Raw genomic sequence first — 20,476 nt, forward strand, 5'->3', positions numbered from 1 at the left:
TTACTGGTGCTTATTATGTGTCAGGTACTGTGCTAGGGACTTTAATAAATGCATTGTGTACTTTAATTCTGGCAACCACTCAGAAAAGTAGATGGTATCGTACCCACTTTACAGATAAGGAAACCAGAGCCTAAAGATATTAAGTAATTTTCCCAAAGCCACACAGCTAGTAATTCAAACCAACCATCGAGTCTTTCCACAAAAAAAAGTATGTAATTACAATTCCTAGAGTTAATTTGAGCTTTGTTTTGAGTGCCCTATGATTCCATAGGGCTTAATACTTAAGCAGCCACATATGACTTAACATTATTTTCAGTAAGAAACTTAGAAGACAATGATCTACTAGAATTTTAAAAATACTACTATTTCTTTTGATGTAATAGCCTTCATACTAACAAATGTTTATTAATGTGGTGATTAACTAAACGCCAGCATGAGATTTGAATATCCATATTAGAAGAACACCATATCAGGGGCAGAGTAACACAAACCTAACCAACATAACTCCACCTCTTCTGGTCCTTTAACCGTAAACAAATGGCTTCAACTTTCACAGATAAAACTGTAGGACTGGTAGTTCCTATCTCTTATGGTAGCTCTGGCCATTAGAAGTGGGAAACCCATCGTAAAAATTCAAAATGTACTATTATAATAAAAGGTCTATCAGTGCAGCTAAAGCAGCTCCTCTCTCTAGGTAAGCACAGTTACACCAAATGCATGAGCCTGATGCTAAGTGAGAGTGCACAGTATGAGATTCACCTGTGGTAGCACTGAGCAAAGATGAGCTCCCAAAACTTTGCTTGAGCCTCCCGACAGCCTGTGACTTAGGAAAGCAGCCATGTTTTAAGTCCTGCCAACTATGTCCATCTGACATTGGCCTTGATACAGGTTAGGAAACCAAAAGATTCACTTCCTGCATCATGTTACCCTTCCATCAGATATCTACCTTCTACCTGTGCACCTGTGACGTAATGTGCTGACACATCGACAAACCACAAGAGAGAAAATAAGACCTGGCAAATGGAGCATAACCAAATCAGTGCTTTGAAAAGGGATATTAACAACAGCAGGTAGCAGGTCACCTTCTAAAGGAGCTAGGCTACCCCAGCTTTGACCTGGAACCAGGTGATCAGCTAGAGAACATTGCCTTGGAGGGTAACACGTGACTTCTACTCACATCAATGATTTTCTAACAAATAACTAAGTTGAATTATCTTTGTTTTCTAAGAGAGTATGGACACGTTGTGAAGCCTTATTTGAGGATTTCATGCCCTCCAAGTCGTTCATTTATTCCCTAAGTACAATATTTAAGAAAATCTCAGCAGCCATTCTCTGATAGGTCATTATTCTGCCCCATCTGTATCCTATCACCCAACTTTATCTCCTTCAAAGGCATTACAATATGCCCCATCTGTATCCTATCACCCAACTTTATCTCCTTCAAAGGCATTACAATATAATATTCTTCCAATGTGGTAACAACAAAACAAAAATGTATCAGATACTTTGGTTTACATGTTGTACTCACATTTCAGAATTAAAGAAAATCAAGCTATTATTACAAGTAATGACAAATTGGATTGTATTCTTTGCCATTTTTATTACATTTGCTTTTACAAGTCAGTAGTGTTATAATCAATGAAGCATTGATTTGTATGCATTCTATGGTATCTCATTCAACAATACTGAAAACCATTATTGCTGGGTGCCACACCAGGTGCTAAAGATTCATCAATGAGATGTCTTAGCACTCATGGAGAAACACACAGCACAGTGATTAGTTAGGTCCCGGGACTTGGAAGCCAGTCTTTCTGGGGTCAGACGCTGGTCCTTTAAGCTTCCCAGCTGTGTGGCCTTAGGAACATAAAGTAAGTTCTTGATGTCTCAGTTTCCTCACCTGTTATAATAATAGTGTCTGTTTCAGAGGGCTTTTAGGAACATTAAATGAGATAATGTTTACATTATGTTTTATGTTTACAGTTTATCATGGAGCTGTACCTGATACATAGGAAACATCATGTAAATGATCATTAAAAATGAAACTCACTTTCTAGTGAGGGAGTCTCATAATAAACAAATAAATAAGAAAATTATAGTCAATGGGACAAACACCAAGCAAACCATTTACAATAGAATTAAAACACACTCATTTCTATCAGTGGCAGGCTAGGTTATTTGGATGAATTCTCCTGCTGAGAACTGGGCACAGAAACAACTCCAGTTTTGACAGTCCCTGGAGCAAAAGCGACCAATTAAACCCAAGGTTAACCAAAAATAGATTAATAGGAGATTCTCCTAAATCAGGGTATAGGCAAACCAGAAGTAAACCATACCCATATCCACCCACAAGACTGCACAGACAGTTAAGTTACTTTGGCACAAAAAGGAGGTTGTAGGGGAGGGAAAAATGAATGGACTGATCCCTGGGAGGGTGACTATGGGCTAGCAGTGCTCCTATGGATCAGTTGTTTTGTCCAAGAAACCTCAAGCCACGAACTCAGTGTTCATGTCTGGTAACTCCCCTAACCTCTTGAAAATCCTTTCTAGAGTAAGTCACCTTTGTCTTAGGCCTTAAATTTTCCAAAAATAATTTTTAAAGTAGAATGAGGAACACAAAATAGTATCTAAGAATATCAAGAAACAAGACCCTATGAGTGGAAACTGGCAGGAAAAAAAAAAAAAAGACCAAAGAAACACCTTCAAAGACTTCAGATTTTTTAATGTATCAGCCAAAGATTATAAAATAACTGTTTAGTATGTTTAAAGTTTAAAAATACAAGTTTAAAAATATCTTCAAGGAATAGAAAAGTATAGCGTCCTATTTGAAATAAGACTAGATAGAACATTTAGAAAAGAAAAAGTTAAAATGTATAAATTAATGAAGGAATTTAACAGATGTTTAGATGCAGCAGAAGACAGAATTAATGAACTGTCACATAGATCAGAAAGAATTCTCTAGAATGCATCAAAGAAGGCAAAAAATAAAAAAGAGTAGGTTAAGAAGCATGGTAGGGGAGACTGAGAAGGTGTAACAAATGTCTAATTGGGATTCCAGAAAAAGAAAAGAAAGAGGGCCAGGCTGGGTGTCTCACACCTGTAATCCCAGCACTCTGGGAGACCAAGGCTAGCAGATTGCTTGGTCCAAGGGGATCAAGAACAGCCTGGGCAACATGGCAAAACCCTGTCTCTACAGAAAGTACAACAAATTAGCCAGGTTTGGCGCCTTGTGCCTGTAGTCCCAGCTACTCAGGAGGCTGAGGTGGGAAGATCGACTGAGCCCAGGAGGTCGAGGCTGCAGTAAGCCGTGATCGCGCCACTACACTCCAGCCTGGGTGGAAGAGTGAGACTCTGTCTCAAAAAAAATAAAAAATAAAAAATAAAAATAAAGAATAGAATGGGGAAGAGAGTATGTTTGAAGAGATAATAGTTGAAAATTTTCTAAAACTGAAATAAGAAGCCTATAATCCAGAGCTGTGGGACCATGGCAGTAGCAGAGGAACAGAATCCAGAGGATGGAGAAGAGGATGAAGGAGGAGGGAGAACAGTTAGTTCTCATGGAATTATCAGGAATTATTGATTCAGACTTTCTCTCGAAATGTGAAAATAAATGCAAAATTTTGAGAATTGACACCAAGAGGCCCTTTCTGCAAGTGGACAGCTATGTCTTGGCTGGGGAGTCTGAAGACACTCTTGGGACGTGTGTCACATTTGAAGAAAATGTTGAACATGTGGATAGAGAGGGCAAGGAGTACACAGTGCTAAAATACAAGTGCCATACATGGAAGATGTCAGCATGACAAGAACTCTTCTGACAGAGAAGGAAGGAGGAGAAAACAGGTGAGGTGGAATGGCTGTAAATCAAGGATAAGGATTTCTCCTCTAGACCCAACATGATTTGTAGCTTTCTACATAAAAATGAAGATGAAGAAGTGATAGCTTTGGCCTCAGATAAACCTTTGGAATTGGAAGGAAGATTCAAATGAAAGACAGTTCAAACCTGAGTTGTGAACAGGAGAAGCCACTGCAAGTGGACATAGAGGATTCTGGTCCTCCTCATGACATCCCTTCTGAGACAGAAGCTTCTGTGTTTATAGAAACTTAAGATGCTGCCTTAGAAGTCACTCCTAATGAAATGTTTCTCATAATAATGCATTATGAGCTTTCTGGTGTTCTTATATAAAGATATCCAGCTGTATAGCTTTCAGCTGTTCACTATTTTATTGTGTTTTGTTGGCTATACACACATATCCAGTCACATCACAGCTTATTTTACCAGAATCATTCAGGACCAGACATGAATTGAATTTTTTAAAATTCAGCTTAAATGACTTTAGGGACAGTTCTCTGATGAGTCCTTTAAATTCAAGGTTTTACTAAGGTAAGTACATAAGTTTTCTATTGTAGCTGTTACAAATGACCACAAACTCCGTGGCTGAAAACAACAAAATGTATCATCATAGTTTTGTAGGTCGGAAATCTGACACTGGTCTTAACTGAGCTAAATTCAAGATGCTGGCAGGACTGCATTCCTTTATGGAGGCTGGGGGCAGGTTAGGGGGCCATAAATCCATTTCCTTGCTTATTCAGTTGTTGGCAGAATTCAGTTCTTTACAGTTGAAGAATCAAAGTCTCATTTCCTTGCTGTCTGCCAGCGGAGGGCCATTTCTAGCTTCCAGAGGCTGCCCGCATTTCTTGGCTCATGGTCTCCTTTTCTTCAGAGCTAGCAATGGTGGGTCATGTCCCCTTTCCTGTTACTTCCTCATCATACCTCTCTCTGACCTACCCTTTTGTCTTCTATTCCACTTTTAAAGGTCCATTTGATTATGATTACATTGGGCCCACTTGAATAATTTCTCTATTTTAAGGTCTATAACCTTAATTCCATCTGCAAAGTCTCTTTTGCTGCATAATTTATAACATATACAGGCATAAAACTAGGGACTGGGGCATGGAAATCTTTTGGGAGACCATTTTTCAGTCTACTATAATATGTATTTTATCTAGAAACAGAAAAAGAATTTTGAAGTGCTTAAAGATAAAGGTACAATTCCTAATATTCCAGCTGTCAATCCACTCTTTTTTCACTAGAGCAAGATTGCTGGAATTCAACTGTAATCTTGATTTTATTAGGGCAGTAACCTAAATCTGTGATAATTTGTATTTTTAAGTAAATTATTCACAAATATAGATACAGTATTATAGGTTGAGCTGTATTAAATTGTCAATATTTGTATCTGACTACAAAAAAACAGCAATTTCACCTAGTTTAGCCTAGGTGAAATTAATAGTTAAAACACACCTCACATTAATCACATCTCACAATTGATGGAGATGTAACTATTTTAACGGGTTAGAGAACTAATGTTCTGGAGGAGGAATTTGTTTCTTCAAAAAAATCTTGTATTTAATTGGAAAACAACTTACCTTGATAAAAAGCATTTTCAAATCATAAGCACATATATCTTCCCAAGTTTTATACGACTTTTTTAGTCTCAGCTTTTGTATTAGTCCATTCTCACACTACGAATAAAGACATACCTGAGACTGGGTAATTTATAAAGAAAAAGAGGTATAATGGACTCACAGCTCCACATGACTGGGGAGGCCTCACAATCATGATGGAAGGTGAAGGAGGAACAAAGGCATATCTTCCATGGCAGCAGGCAAGAGACCATGTGCAGATGAACTGCCCTTTATAAAACCATCAGATCTCATGAGGCTTATTCACAATCATAATAACAGCACAGGAAAAACCCACTCTATAATTCAATTACCTCCCACCAGGTCCCTCCCACCACATGTGGGGATTATAGGAGCTAAAATTCAAGATGAGATTTGGGTGGGGACACAGCCAAACCATACCAGCATTTTTTTTTTTTTTTTGAGACATGGTCTCACTGTGTCACCTAGGCTGGAGTGCAGCGGTGCCATCATAGCTCACTGAAGCCTGAACTCTTGGATTCAAGCAATCTTCCTGCTTTGGCCTCTCGAGTAGCTGGGAAGTACAAGTGCATGCCATCATGCCAGCTAATTTTTTCTTTCTTTTTTTTTTTTTTTATTTATTTTTTTTGTAGAGACAGGGTCTTACTATGTTGCCCAAGCTAGTATTGAACTCCTGGCCTCAAGCAATCCTCCCACCTTAACCTCCCAAAGCTCTGGGATTACAAGCTTGAGCCACTTTGCCTAGCCTAATGTCAGCATTTAATAAGAAGCTATTGTTCCCACCATATATATGTATAGGAGAGACTGCTAACTGCCTGACTCAATTATCTGTTCTCCCTGGTTTTTTTTGTAACAGAATCCCAGAACTTATTCAGACTAGCAATGTGCCCACTTTCCCCATAGATTCATGTGGCCATATGACTAAGTTCTGGCCATTGACATGGAATTAGAAGTGTTGGGCCAGGCCCGGTGGCTCACACCTGTAATCTCAACAGTTTGGGAGGTCAAGATGAGCAGAACACTTGAGCTCAGAAGTTCAAGACCAGCCTAGGGAACATGGCGAAACCCTGTCTCTACAAAAAATACAAAAATTAGCCAGGCATAGTGGGGCACGCCTGTAGTTCCAGCTATTCTGGAGGCTAAAGTAGGAGGATTGTTTGAGCGTGGGAGGTTGAGGCTGCAGTGAGCTGTGATTGCACCACTGCACTCCAGCCTGGGCAACAGAGTGAGACCCTGTCTCAAGAAAAAAATAAGAGGTGTTGAGTGATGCTTCCAGAAAGTTTCCTTAAACTTAAAGGCATAAGAGGAAGTAGGTAGGCTCATTTTCTCTTTCTTTCTGCTAGAACATGGATGTGGTGGCTAGAACTCCAGCAGGATTCTTGGACTTTAAAGCAACCTTGGAAATAAACCCTTGAGTGGCAGAGCAGCAGGAGAGAAGATTGGGTCCAGATTATGTGAGACTGCCCTGGACTGCTCTGAGTAAAGGGTTAACAAAACCCTTTCTCTTCCCTGGTAAAATGACTTTGCCTTTCATCATCATTTCTCTGGAAGCCTACTAGGCAAGGTAATAATGGAATGTCAACTGTGATACTAGGCAATACTGGATCATCTTCATGATTAAAGATGATCCCTTATTGGTAAACTGTATCTGGACCAAGAAGACTATGACACGTACTATAAGTGCCCATTGAAAAACATGAGTTTTGAGATTCCTTAAGCGTAGTGTTCCTCATTGCAAAGATTCCTGGAAATTACAGTCATGGGCTATCTCAACAGGTATTAGTTCTCATGGAGCATGAAGCTTCCAAGCCAGGTGGCTTCTGCACCCACCGGATGATCTTGTTTCCTTATACCTGAGCTGACACTTGGCAGGCTGGAGTAAAGCCTTCTGCTGAAATAAGCCTCATGCTGCCATGTTGTTGTGCTGTTTCTTGTTCTGTATCTTGCAAAGTTAAATGAACAGGGTGTCAAATTGGATGCCACAAGGCTTATTGGGTCCTGTGAGTGTCAATGTCATTCTAAACCTGTGACTACTGCTGCTGCTGAGGCAGAAAAGAAATTGCCACTGCTTACCTCTGGCCTTCTTTTACATGAGAGAGAAATGACCTACTCTCTTAAGTCACTCTTTAATAGCCAAACTTAATCTTAATTGCAACATATGTATTTTTAAAAACATGAAAAATATTAAAAAGCAGACCAGGTACAGTAGTTCATTCCTGTAATCCCAACACTTTGAGAGGCCAAGGTGGGAAGATTGCTTGAGGACAGGAGTTCAAGACCAGCTGGGCAACACAGCAAGACACCTGTCTCTTTTTTTTTTAAAGAAAGTATAAAGAAGTGGAAGATTCTTGAAATGAGTAATTATGCAAAAGAAACTGATCTACACTATAATGTACTTCTACTTTAAATTGAAGAGGAAAATAAAGTCTTAAATTCTGAAGGGAAAAAAAGCAGCATATAATCCCAAACGGTATAAAAATAAAAAGAAATCCATACTTAGACACATTACAGTGATACTAAAGAAAACCTAAGGCAAGGAGAAAAAATATCTTAATAGCAGCAGAGGGAAAAAAGAAAGTACCGGTCACCTTCAAAAGAGGGACAAATTGACAGCTGACCTCTCAGCAGAAATAATGTAAGCCTAAAGACAGTGAAATAATGTATATTCAATGTACTAAAAGAAAATAACTGCCAACCTAAAATTCTATACACAACAAAAATATCATATCAGTATTAGGACAAAATATCAGACAGCAGCTAAAAAGAGCTCACCACCAGCCAATCCTCACTTAAAGAAAATCTAAAGGATGTATTTCAGAGAGAAGTATTCTCAGATAGAAACTACGAGATACAAGAAGGAATAAACAGCAAAAATAGAATAAGTGTAAACCACTGAATAAAGAACAGCAATCTTCATTAAATAATTATGCTATGGAAGTACCATATGGTTTCGTTGGGGGTAAGGGGATTGTCAAGGAATGTTTCACTGAGGGTGACAGAGGTCACTGTGGCTGGAGGGGAAGAGAGGATTGAGGTGGGGCTGAAGAATTAGGTTATATAGGTCATATATAATTATATAGGACTTTATGAGTGATGTCACTTCTTATCCCACATGCAAGGGGGCATTGTTGTGGGGTTATAAGCAGGGAGATAAGGTTAAATTGTTACTCTGGGTACCATAAGATACAGGATGAAGCAGGGCAAAAGTGGACAGAGGGTTTCAAGTTAGGTTGTTTTTGTGGTTGCAATTGAGAGATGATAGTTTAGATTACAGAGAAGCAACGGAAATGGAGGGTGGTAGTTGGATGCAAGAGGCATTCAAGAAAGAGAGTTGACAGGCTTTAGGACACACTGGATGTGAGACTCCGCAGAGGGAGAAACCAAGAAGGACACTGCTATAGACTGAACGGTTATGTCCACCCAAAGTTCCTACGTTGAAACTTAATCCCCAATGCAATGGTATTTAGAGGCGAGGCCTTTGGGAGGGGATTAGATCATGAAAGCTGAGCCTTCATGAATGGGATTAGTATCCTCATAAAGGAGAACCTAAAGAGCTCCCTCACCCTTTTCACTTTGTGAAGACAAAGCAAGAAGACAGCCGTCTATGAATCAGAACATGGGTCTTCACCCGACACCAAATCTGGCGGTACCTTAATTCCCAGCCTCCAGAACTGTGAGAAAAAAATTTCTATTGTTGGTAAACCAGCCAGTGTTTGGTATTTTGCTATAACAGCCCAAATGGACAAGACAGACACCTTAGTTTCTGGTTTGCATTACTGGCTAGATGTGGTACCAGTCACTTAGACCTGCAATAAGGGCAGGTAGCAGAAGAGGAGACAATGTTGGGACACCCTATTTTACACTTATTTAGCTTTATGTGCCTTTAAGACAGTCAAGCAGAAATGTCAAAGAACTAGTTAAATACTTAGACCTGGAATTCAGAGAAGCCCAAGCTAAAGATATAAATTCAAAAGTCATCTTCACAGAAATAAAACCTGAAGCCATGGGCATAGCAACGATGACCAGAAAAGGACTTAGGACTGAACCTCAAGAACTCTAACATCCTGAAGTGTTAAGAAGCTTGAGCTCTGGAGTCAGGTTGCCTGATTTTGGATCCTGGCTCTACTAACCACAGGCTGTTTTGCCCTCTCTGAGTACCACTGACATCCTCTGTAAAATAGCGGATGGATGCTAAGAGGATTATATAATACATGGAGAGCACCTACCATGGTATCTGTCTCATGGTAACAGCTCCAAAGCTTAGCTTTATTCATAATATGACAGGAAAGGAGAGGATAGACTGGGAAAGGAGACAAAGCAGCAGCCAGAGAGAAAAAGAAGAAAAGACAGAACGGTGAATGTTTTCAGGAAGAGCCAGCAGTGTTGATGTTGCAGATAGGTCAAAAAGATGAGGACTGATAAATGTCCTATAAGCCCGGGGACCCTAGAGAAACCATGTTAGAAGGAGAGGGGTACAGATGCCAGATTGGAGTTTGGGTGAGAAAATGGAGACAGCAAGTGTAGAAGACACATCTGAGAGTTGGACTAACAAAGGGCGAATAAAAATATCAATAGGTTCCTATGGAGAAGGGGGAGGAGGGGCAAGGAGGGCTGTTACTCTAAGAAAGAGGCACCAACAGATATCTCCCAGTCCTTGCCTGTGGGACAGCTGACTCAGCAGATAGTGAGTTCCTCATTCCCAGCACTGATCACACAGACACTGGATGACCATTTGTTAAGACGGGTGAACAGGGAGGCTGATGACTTGCAGACCTATGATTCAGGGAAAGGGCTCGTGAGACACAGGGACTAGGAGTGGGGTCAGGAAGAGTCAGCTGGTGTTGATGAATTGCAGAGAAAGGTGGCATTGGGCAAAGAAATCAGCCTTGCTTAGGTCAAGTAGTACTCAGGGAAAATGTGTAGAACTGAAATAATTAGTAATGTTTTGTGACTATAATTTTTGAACTTCTAGATGTGCATGTGTGTTAACCTGACAAGGTACAGGATGAGATGCTGTAAAAAGTGGATTCCAATTTCATGCATGGGTAAAATCCCCACTCTCTAAATCCACAACACTGATGCATATACACAGAAAGAAGAAAAGAAATCGTAAAGTACTCATACATTGATGACTATAAAGAAAAAGGACAGGAGAGATACATGCGTAATTTCCAAAAGCTGGAGGAGTCCATAGAAGAAAGGAATGAAGAAAGGGAGGGAAAGGAAAAAATGAAAAGAGTAAACATGAAAACAAGTGGCAAAAAGCTCAAAAGGACTAACACCAAAACATTAACCAGGCTCATCCCTGAATGAAAAGAACATAGGTGATTCTTATTTTCTTCATTTTGATTAGCTAGATTTCTATATTTCTTTAAATTTCTCATCTTGTTTTTCTCTTTGCCTAGTTCCCAATACAGATGCTTCAAAGGAAGATAATACATTTCTCAACCTACCATTCAATGCCAGATTTGCTAAGAGAGCAGATGCCATGTTAACCTGTAAAAATCTGATTTTAATTGCTAGTGCAATGCTTGTCCTCTAATAATTCCTTCTCTATTGTCTTTGAGTATAAATATTTATTGCACTTAAAGGTTCAATTTAATTTTTTAAAAGAAGCAATTTTTTTTTTGAGATGGAGTTTTTCTCTTGTTGCCCAGGCTGGCATGCAATGGCGTGATCTTGGCTCACCACAACCTCCGCCTCCCAGGTTCAAGTGATTCTCCTGCCTCAGCCTCCCAAGTAGCTGGGATTACAGGCATGCACCACCACACCCGGCTAATTTTGTATTTTTAGTAGAGACAGGGTTTCTCCATGTTGGTCAGGCTGGTCCTGAACTTCCGACCTCAGGTGATCTGCCTGCCTCGGCCTCCCAAAGTGCTGGGATTACAGGCATGAGCCACCAGGCCTGGTGCTAATTTTTTAAAAGAAAAAGAAAAAATGTGTCCTCACCCAAATCATCAATGCATTTTTGAAAAATAATGACAAGATAAATTAAGAAATGTAAGCATTGTCCAGTTAAAGCATATGTCAATATTGTAACATTAAAAGTCATCTACTATTAACTAAATAGATGAATCAACTTTTAAATGCATCTATCATGTAAGATGTCTAGCTTAACAATACAGAGCTGTAGGGCCAGACCATGTCCTCCTTGTAGAACCAAACAATATGATTCCCAGATCAATAGTTACAGAACACAACTATACTTGTAATACTAACCATTTGTGTGTGTGTGTGTGTCTTGGTGGGGAGAGATTAAAACAGTTCTAGATGCAAAAATGGAGAAAAATAAGTCTTAATTGTTTAACACTGTCTTTAAAAGTCAAATTACACTGATATCTCAGATAATCTGATGAACCTCACCTTTTGGTCTTACCCCCAGTTTACTTATCCATGCACTATACATATGTTTTATCTACCCATTCCCTTAACTCAAAATTTTACAGATGCATTCTCTGCCTCTAAAAACTTGCCCATCACTTTAACATTTCACTAAATCCTCCTTCTGGGAAGAACTTTTCATATTAGTCCAAAAAAATGTGGCAATATTAGCTTTTTTCCCTTTTGGACAATATCGTCTCTTCCTCTAACTAAAATAGTCCTTACCAAGTAGGAATGGGTTTGGCTACAAGTAACAGAAAACTGTGTTTAAATCTGTGGTTAAACCACAGGGATATGTACGATCTCACTGAACTAAAAGTCCACAGGTAGGTGGTTCCAGGGTTCCTTCAGGGAATGGATGGTGTAATCGAGGACCTAGACACTTCCACACTCCCATGCCATCATCCTTAGCATGACGTGTCCTATTCCCATCCCTGCTGCCTCACTGGCTGCTGTCACACCAGACGTCACATCCTCATGCTGTGCTTAAATGCAAGCATCAAGGGTGTGGCAAAAGATGTTCTCTCAGGAGGTTCTGTCCTTTATCTGGAAAAGAAGCATTTCCAGAAGTCTTCCTTATAGCCCCATAGGCCAAAACTGAATCACTATGGCCACTCCTAGTCACAGGGAAGGCTGTGAAAGTATTTCCCTTCTCAGCTTCTAGTCAAACTCAATCTCCTTATTTGTAGGAATTAAATGAAATAGTGCCCTGTTGATTCTATCTCCAACATTCCTGTTGCATCCACCTAATTATCTTCATCCCCCACCAAATCAACTCCCACCACTGTACTACAGGCTTCAGAATATCCCACCTAAAGTCTCCCAACAGTTCCTAACTGGTATCCTGATTGCCCCATTTTGTCCCCTCTACCATCCACTTTTTTTTTTTTTTTAAGTCTTTCTCTGTTGCCCAGGCTGGAGTGCAGTGGTGCAATCATAGCTCACTGCAGCCTGGAACTCCTGGGCCCAAGTGATCCTTCCACCTCACCACCTAAGCACCTGGGACTACGGGCTCACACCACAACACCTAGCTAATTTCTTCTGTTTTTTTTGTAGAGATGGGGGTTTCCCCATGTTGCCCAGGCGGGTCTCAAATACCTGGGCTCAAGCAATCCTCCCACTTCAGCCTCCCAAAGTGCTGGGATTACAGATGTGAGCTGCTGCGCCTGGCCCATTCTTTTTTGAGATGGAGCCTCACTCTGTCACCAGGCTTGGAGTGCAGTGGCGCGATCTCGGCTCACTGCAACCTCCACCTCCCGGGTTCAAGCGATTCTCCTGCCTCAGCCTCCTGAGTAGCTGGGACTACAGAAGGACGCCACCACACCCAGCTAATTTTTGTATTTTTAGTAGAGACAGAGTTTCACCATGTTGGCTAGGATGGTCTGAATCTCTTGACCTCGTGATTCACCTGCCTCGGCCTCCCAAAGTGCTGAGATTACAGGCATGAGCCATCGCGCCCAGCCCCATTCATTCTTTATACACCACTGCACAACATTTAACTGCGAATCTTACCATGTTCTTCCTCTTTAGTGGGTTGTGGTCCTGAATGTTCTGGTCACACCCACCTCTCCAGCTTCAGCTCCCTCTCCTCACTCAGATCACATGCGCCTGCTCTTTGCCTCTCAAGAAACCTCAATTTCTTCACACCTCCAAGTTGTTCACACGCTACTTCCTCCATCTGAAATGCTCACCCACTCTGCATCTCAGCTAATCTCTCCTCAGTTTTCATGTCTCTCCTTCAATGTCCTCCCCGTACACAAGGGTTATTTGTAAGATGTTGTTATTAAGTTCAAAGTTGCTGAATATAAATGAGAAAGGGCATGCAAAATAATCTTTTTTTTTTGTTAATTTCAGCAGTTAGTAGAGGTTTGCTTATTAGTAAAATGTTGACCATTTTGTTAAAATCACACTTGAGGAGCCAGTTGGCAGAACTTATTTTCTTTTCCTGAATTTTTTATTTTCACCCATATGCTCAACCAACAACGTAAAAACCCACCTCCATAGCTCCCTAGTGGTGATGACTCCTCAGATAAAGGCATTCTTCCATGATTCAATTTCATCTGTAAAGTAATGGCACTATGATGAATTATCCCATTCTCCCCTCAAAGTTGGTGGCCTGCCTTTGTTCAATCCTGCTTCTGTGATTGAAAGTTTATGCTCTAAAAGTAATCCCGAGAAATATATAAAAATGCATGACTTCCAAATACCCTGTGCTGTGCATATCATAGAAATTCAAAGAATCCCAAACTAAAAAGTAAATCATATATTCATATTTTTATCTTTCACAAATTGAAATACTCTCTAAAAATTTTTTCTACTAATTCTATATTGCAAATTATTTGAGTTAGGCAGTATGTCTTTCACTACTTTTTTTTTTTTTTTTTTTTTTTACAGACAGAGTCTCACTCTGTCACCCAGGCTGGAGTGCAGTGGCCGGATCTCAGCTCACTGCCACCTCCACCTCCCAGGTTCAAATGATTCTTGTGCCTCAGCCTCCCCAATAGCTGGGAATACAGGCGTGCACCACTACACCCACCTTGTTTTTTATTATTATTTTTAAGTAGAGACAAGGTTTTGTCATGTTGGCCAGGCTGGTCTCAAACTCCTGGTCTCATGTGATCCACCCGCCTCGGCCTCCAAAGCGCTAGGGTTACAGGCTTGAGCCATCTTGCCCGGCTGTCTTTCACTGCTTTTATACTGCAAACAGTTTTCACAACAGAGATGCTCAGTTGCTCCACACCCAGTCCTTCAGGGGAGTTATGCTTGCATATGAGCTCAAGGAACATCAAAATCGTTTTTTGAAACAAGAGCATCCTGGAAGATGAAGCAAGCTGCACCTCTGCCTTCATTAGTGAAAATGCCCTGTGCCAATATCTTTATGTCAAATGAATAAAAAGTACTCTTGGCCGGGCGCTGTGGCTCACGCCTGTAATCCCAGCACTTTGGGAGGGAGGCCGAGACGGGCGTATCACGAGGTCAGGAGATCGAGACTATCCTGGCTAACACGGGGAACCCCGTCTCTACTGAAAATACAAAAAATTAGCCGGGCGCAGTGGCGGGCGCCTGTAGTCCCAGCTACTCGGGAGGCTGAGGCAGGAGAATGGCGTGAACCCGGGAGGCGGAGCTTGCCGTGAGCCGAGATCGCGCCACTGCAGTCCAGCCTCGGCGACTGAGCGAGACTCCGTCTCAAAAAAAAAAAAAAAAAAAAAGTACTCTTATGTGACCAGGAGTGCAATCCCCGGTTCACTTCCTGCAGTGGCTCAGGGCTGGATTTACACTGCCCTCGTTGGGTGGCTGTCCATGGACTTCCAGGCCTGAAAGAAGGAAATTCACATCCTCACTGAGTCGTGTTAAGAGTCTCAGACTGGCAGGTTGTGGTGGTTAAGACCGTAGAAGCTAGAGTCAGGCCCCCTGGGTTCCAACCCTGCTCTGCCACGTACCAGACAGGCAAACCTGAGCAACCATTTTCCCGTGCTAGGGTTTCCTCGCCTGTCGAGTGAGAATAATAATAATAACAATACCTACCTCCTAGGGTTGCTGTGAGAAATAAATGACAATCCACAGAAAGCGCCTGCAACGGCGCCTGGCTGGCAAACAGCGGACTTGTTAATTACAGCCTTTCAACTAAGGGCGCCTGAAACTCGCAAACATTTTGCTCGGGTGTGGATTCGCTCCCGTTAGTTACAAACTTGGGATCCCGGGACCCGGAAAGCAAGGGGGAAAAATAAATCGCGATGGGGCCAAGGGACAGCTGCTGCGGCAACTTTTACCCAGCGGAGCCCACCTACAGCCTCAGCCTCCGGGTCTCAGGTCTCCGCCGTTTCTTCTCAAGGAGTCGGTCGGGGGAGCGGCACTGCACAGCTTTTCTCCAATCAGACACCTCAAGGCTGGCGCCTGATCCAATCTCCTCCCCTGGAGGGTGGGAACGCGAAGTTCCTACCTGCACCTGTGGCAGCGGTGACCGCCTCCTGGGTTATTTTCTTTTCTCCCCCAGCTGCCCCAGGGTTCTGGTTTCCCGAATCACTTGGCAAATAACCAGCAGGTGGGCAGATGTCTTTTTTGCGTTCCTACGGACGCGTAGGCAAGTTCGATGCGCCGGAGTGAACAGCCAGGGTCCCATCTCTCAGCCGGCTCCCGGGCGGTGCTAGCAGGGAAGAGGGACGCGCCGGCGAATGAAACACTACTAGCCCGGAAAGCCGCCCTGGACCTTCCACCCGGGCAGCGAGTCTGGCGGCCCCTCGCCGCCGCCCCCTCCGACCAGAACAGACTGCGCTGCGAGCCCCGGGCTTCCGCCGCAGCGCGCAGCAATTGGAGGTGCCAGAGGAGACCAGCAGCAGCACTTGATTTAGCTGGGCTGCGGGAATTCCGACCTGTACACTTTCCAGAAGCCTGATCTCTCCAAGTCCGCGCCCAGGGACTCGAGCCCCGGCTTCCAGGTTGACCCGAGCGCGCCCCCTTCGTGCTCTCGGCCGCGTTCACCGCGCGAGGCCTCCGGGTCCTGTTAAGCCCGAGCAGGTGAGCGACTGGGGGTGGTTCGGCGTCCGCCGAGACAGAGCCTGGCCCCGGGGGTCACCCTGGGGTGCTGCCTGGTACCTCCCAGGTACCCGCCTCCCGGAGCCCTAAGAGAGGCTGAAAACCACGGACGCTCCAGGACTCCGTTTTCTGTACTTTTGAGTAATTTGCCATCTTTTCCTTGCGCAATTCGTACAAAGCCCTTCCGTGCTCACAAAGTTGATGATTGTGAAGAAGAAAATGTAGGTTAGAGGAGAGGAAGCAGCATCAGGACACCTTACCACCACTGTTAGTAAATGACTTGGGGGTACGGGTTGCTTTTCCGATCTGCAAAGTAGGAGGGAATGGGATGTTTGCAGACGCAGTTGCTAATTGTGCCTGAGGGCGTGGGTGCCTTTTGTACCGAAAGAACTTTTGGCCGTTTTTTCTTGTATTGTTTTCAAGTCGCTGCCCGAGTGTGTCCTCAGGGCATCCTGGGGAGGAGCCGGTGTTGCGGTTTCGGGGCGCAGCCGAGGCCGCCCCGCCGCCTCCCGTAGGCGATCAGACTTCCTCTCCCTGGCGGTTCCGGGAGGAGAACCTCCTACAACAAACACCGCCGAAGTTTCCCTCTCCAGCGCGATCGCCAATCCCAGGAGCGCCCGGCGCGTGGGCTGGGAAGGAGCCGAGCGGAAACCTGGAAGTGAGCCGCGGCGCAGGCGAATCCTGCCGTTGCTGGTGGCAGCGCCCAAGAGACCCCGCACAGAAAGTGGGCTGGGAGTCTCGCTTGCTGTACCCGCACCTAAGTGCTCAGAAGCGGCCTTTCGCTCTGCAGAGGGGGGGTCTTAGAAGCTTGGGGAAGAAGCACATTGTTTCGGAGTTCCTTGTTGCGTTCTTTCTCCTTGGGAGGAGGGAATTGCACAAGGAAAAGAAGAGAAGCCTTTACTTTGTAACTGAAATTCTCCAGAGTTGAGTTGCGTCGTACAGACTCGGTGCATATTTTAATACAAAACTAAGGGAAGAGGCCATTTGATACTTGGCTTCATCTCAACCGTCAGCCGGGGGTGACTTCAAACAGACGCAAGATTGGGCTCTGGGGAGTAAAAGGAAGAATTAGGATGGCGGTTTTCAAGGGAAGTTAAGTCTAGACATGCTTCTTTGAAAGTCACAAGGCAGAAGTGGTCAAAAGTAGAATTTAAAAGAACCAAAACAAATATCATAAGCTTGTCCTTCTCTCCTACTGGGATATAAATTCTCCTAAGTATCTCATCGAAAAGGCTCCTGGGACGAAAGTCGATGGGGGCAAATCTTGGAGGGAAATTTCGTGACTGTTTGACCATGGACTAATTAATACCGTTCACCTGTAGAGAGGATGCACTTGGTTCCCAGCGCCCTCCTCCCAGGTGCTTATCCAAAGGGAGGCCGCCCTGGGTCGGATGGGTCACCTTTTGGCGTCCATCTACAGTCAAGCAGTGTGGACAGGGCGGTCATTTTCCCTCTAGAGACGGGTTGATTCAGAGGGGTGGGAACGTCCCTTGGGTCCCCCGGGCACGCTGACCACTGCACTGCACTTCCCCTGAAGGAAAGGCAAAGGTTGAAGCCAAAGAGTTCAAGGCTCAGCCTAGAGACCAGGTGATGGTGCCCTGGAAGACACTTCCGCCAGCACCCTATGGGGCGCAGTGGCGTCTAATGCTAATGTGGGCTACGTAGCTACGGGATTGGGTCGCTCCGACCCTGGCCGATCCGGTGCCAGACAGCATAAGGGAGGAAAGGGGACTGGGGGGGGCACGTGACTTCAACCAACCCAGTAACCAAGTTTTGTTTTCTTCCCCAGCACAGGCCGCTGCCTCAGCATCCACCCCGCAGCCCACGTGTGGCAAGCCGGGGAAGGGGTGGAGTGAACGGCCGGAGACCACGTGGAGAAAGGGGCCGCTTTGGCCCTTCCATCTGGGTGCCGGGAGCCCCTAGGCCCTCCGGCCATGGCCGACAGCGGCGATGCTGGCAGCTCCGGCCCCTGGTGGAAATCGCTCACCAACAGCAGAAAGAAAAGCAAGGAAGCCGCAGTGGGGGTGCCGCCTCCCGCCCAGCCCGCTCCCGGGGAGCCCACGCCACCTGCGCCGCCCAGCCCGGACTGGACCAGCAGCTCCCGGGAGAACCAGCACCCCAATCTCCTCGGGGGCGCCGGCGAGCCCCCCAAACCAGACAAGTTATACGGGGACAAATCCGGCAGCAGCCGCCGCAATTTGAAGATCTCGCGCTCCGGCCGCTTTAAGGAGAAGAGGAAAGTGCGCGCCACGCTGCTCCCGGAGGCGGGCAGGTCCCCGGAGGAGGCAGGCTTTCCTGGTGACCCCCACGAGGACAAGCAGTAGCCCCAATAGCCTGCGCGCTCCAGGACTGCCTACCCAGCACTACCCCAAACCCCCAGTTCCAAACCCGAGACTTCAGGCCCGCCCCCTTACGCGTTGTCTCATTCCACCAAATTCAGAATATTTACACAATGCCTTCATGATTTTATTTTTCTGGAAATTGAAGTGTCAATTGGGTTCTCAATATTTCATGACTCCAAGGATGCATTAAATATTTATTTGTGGTAAGAGAAGATACCTGCCGCGGAGGAGGGTGGCATAATTATTTTTTTTTCAAAAAGCTATTCTGGGGCCCTGGCCCCCTGGCTCCTGTCACAGCTCAGCTTGAACTCTGTAGCCTCTCAAATGAAGAAGGTGGCTGTTATTTAGGACTCTGTGGAAAGCAAATCACAGTGCTGTTTTTAATGCCTGAGAAATGCACTTTAGGGGTAGACTTATACCTTAAGTGAAGGAGTGGGGGAGGAAGAAGCATTCTTAAGTAGAAGCATTTTAAAATAAGGCAGGATTGCTTTTAATGTTAAACTACAAAACTGTACAGCCTATTTTAGTGTGGACTATTAAAACCCTTGCACTGTAAGGCTTAAGGTGACTTTTGTATTTTTTCCATTCCAAGACTGAATCCCATCATACTTAAAAGCAGGCAGGCAAAGTCCGAGGTGAGAGTTAATCATTTGCCACACAACATAACAGTGACTAGTGGAAAGCTGCAGGGAAGAGAATATTTCTGGAAACCAGCAACACCTGGACTGGAACTTGTTAGCCAGATATCCCTATTTATCAGCCAAATTCGAGGAAGGGAGAGAGGTACCAATTCATTATTCCTAAATTCACCTTTTACTTCAGTGCATTTTCATAGACTATAGTAAGTTACAATGCTAGTAATACATCCTTTTCAGTATCCATTGTTAAACTTACTAACGATTGTCTAAAATCAAAAAACAAGGCCAGGTACGGTGGCTGATGTCTGTAATGCCAGCACTTTGGGAGGCCTAGGAAGGTGGATCACCTGAGGTCAGGAGTTCAAGACCAGCCTGACCAAAAAGGTGAAACCCTGTCGCTACTAAAAATACAAAAATTAGCCGGGCGTGGTGGCAGGCACCTGTAGTCCCAGCTACTCGGGAGGCTGAGACAGGAGAATTGCTTGAACCTGGGAGACAGAAGTTGCAGTGAGCAGAGATCGTGCCACTGCACTCCAGCCTGGGCATCTGAAGGAGACTCCATCTCAAAAAAAAAAAAGACTGAACTCTGCGCAGCTAAAGAGGTGGGGGTATTTTCCCCACCCCTTTGCTTTAAAAGCTTATTTCCTTAAAGTATGCATTTATCTAGTTTCAGACCCTTTAGATCTAACAACCTGAAGATTCTTAACAAAAAGCTGTTCGCTTTTATTATGAACTTCAAGAAAAAGAGTAAACGAATACCATTTGCTTTGAGAAAATTACAAGAGAGTTATTGTAGTCGTTAAGAGGCACTGGGATCTTTTCCCACCACAATTCAGTTCATTTATAAACACCCAGAAATGCATGGCAGGAAAATTATATTGATCAAAGTGTATATCTTTGTAGATAATGACAAGCAGGAACTTAATTATAGCTTCTCGATTTGTATATGTAGACAAGCTATTTTTTTGTTTCTCCCAAATTAGTAATTTATAAAGTAGCAAAACAGTTCGATTGTTAAAAGAAATTTAACAAAGAAATTTGATGAAGATGGCTGAAATGAATTTAAATTAATGAATCAAGCTTTGGTGCCAGCAGAATAATACAGCTAATTTTGATACATGAGTTTCCACATACCAAAGG

At 43.8% G+C, this 20,476-nt stretch overlaps 1 protein-coding gene, 1 long non-coding RNA gene and 1 pseudogene across 9 annotated transcripts in view, besides 1 other annotated feature; 2 read left to right on the forward strand and 1 right to left on the reverse strand.

The window, feature by feature from the left end:
- PRR15-DT (PRR15 divergent transcript) overlaps positions 1-15,652 on the reverse strand; it is a 53,507-nt gene extending 37,855 nt beyond the window's left edge. Inside the window, exons 1-2 of one of the 4 annotated variants that reach the window (NR_183548.1) lie at positions 15,608-15,652; positions 13,820-13,883 (exon numbers count right to left, since the gene is read on the reverse strand). This is a non-coding gene — a long non-coding RNA (PRR15 divergent transcript). Of the gene's footprint in view, positions 1-13,819; positions 13,884-15,348 lie in introns of all 4 variants that reach the window. The other 3 variants (NR_183547.1, NR_183549.1, NR_183550.1) reach the window with 3 other exon arrangements.
- Positions 3,471-4,185, forward strand: GTF3C6P3 (GTF3C6 pseudogene 3; annotated as a pseudogene).
- Positions 15,653-15,795: 143 nt separating the features above from the next.
- Positions 15,796-19,256, forward strand: PRR15 (proline rich 15). Of its 5 annotated transcripts, none has more exons than XM_011515199.2 (2): positions 15,796-16,623; positions 18,146-19,256. In XM_011515199.2, exon 2 carries the CDS (start codon positions 18,291-18,293, stop codon positions 18,678-18,680), a length of 390 nt encoding a protein of 129 aa, XP_011513501.1. In that variant the 5' UTR covers positions 15,796-16,623; positions 18,146-18,290; the 3' UTR covers positions 18,681-19,256. The 5 variants fall into 5 exon arrangements, with proteins under 5 accessions (XP_011513501.1, NP_787083.1, NP_001316925.1 ...); NM_175887.3 differs by having other exon boundaries at positions 15,796-16,338; positions 18,146-19,254; NM_001329996.2 differs by having other exon boundaries at positions 15,796-16,338; positions 18,151-19,254.
- Positions 17,419-18,282: an enhancer, noted in NCBI's record as "H3K27ac-H3K4me1 hESC enhancer chr7:29605074-29605937 (GRCh37/hg19 assembly coordinates)". NCBI's record gives its function as "activates a minimal SCP1, AML or CMV promoter by ChIP-STARR-seq in naive H9 embryonic stem cells {active_cell/tissue: H9 hESC(naive)}" and the evidence as "EXISTENCE:reporter gene assay evidence [ECO:0000049][PMID:30033119]".
- Positions 19,257-20,476: the final 1,220 nt, after the last annotated feature.

This window comes from Homo sapiens, chromosome 7 (assembly GCF_000001405.40).
Source record: "Homo sapiens chromosome 7, GRCh38.p14 Primary Assembly".
Taxonomy (NCBI): Eukaryota; Metazoa; Chordata; class Mammalia; order Primates; family Hominidae; genus Homo; species Homo sapiens.

Excerpts from the sequence above, each read along its gene's own strand:
- PRR15 (XM_011515199.2), top strand. The coding sequence starts at position 18,291 with ATGGCCGACAGCGGCGATGCTGGCAGCTCCGGCCCCTGGTGGAAATCG.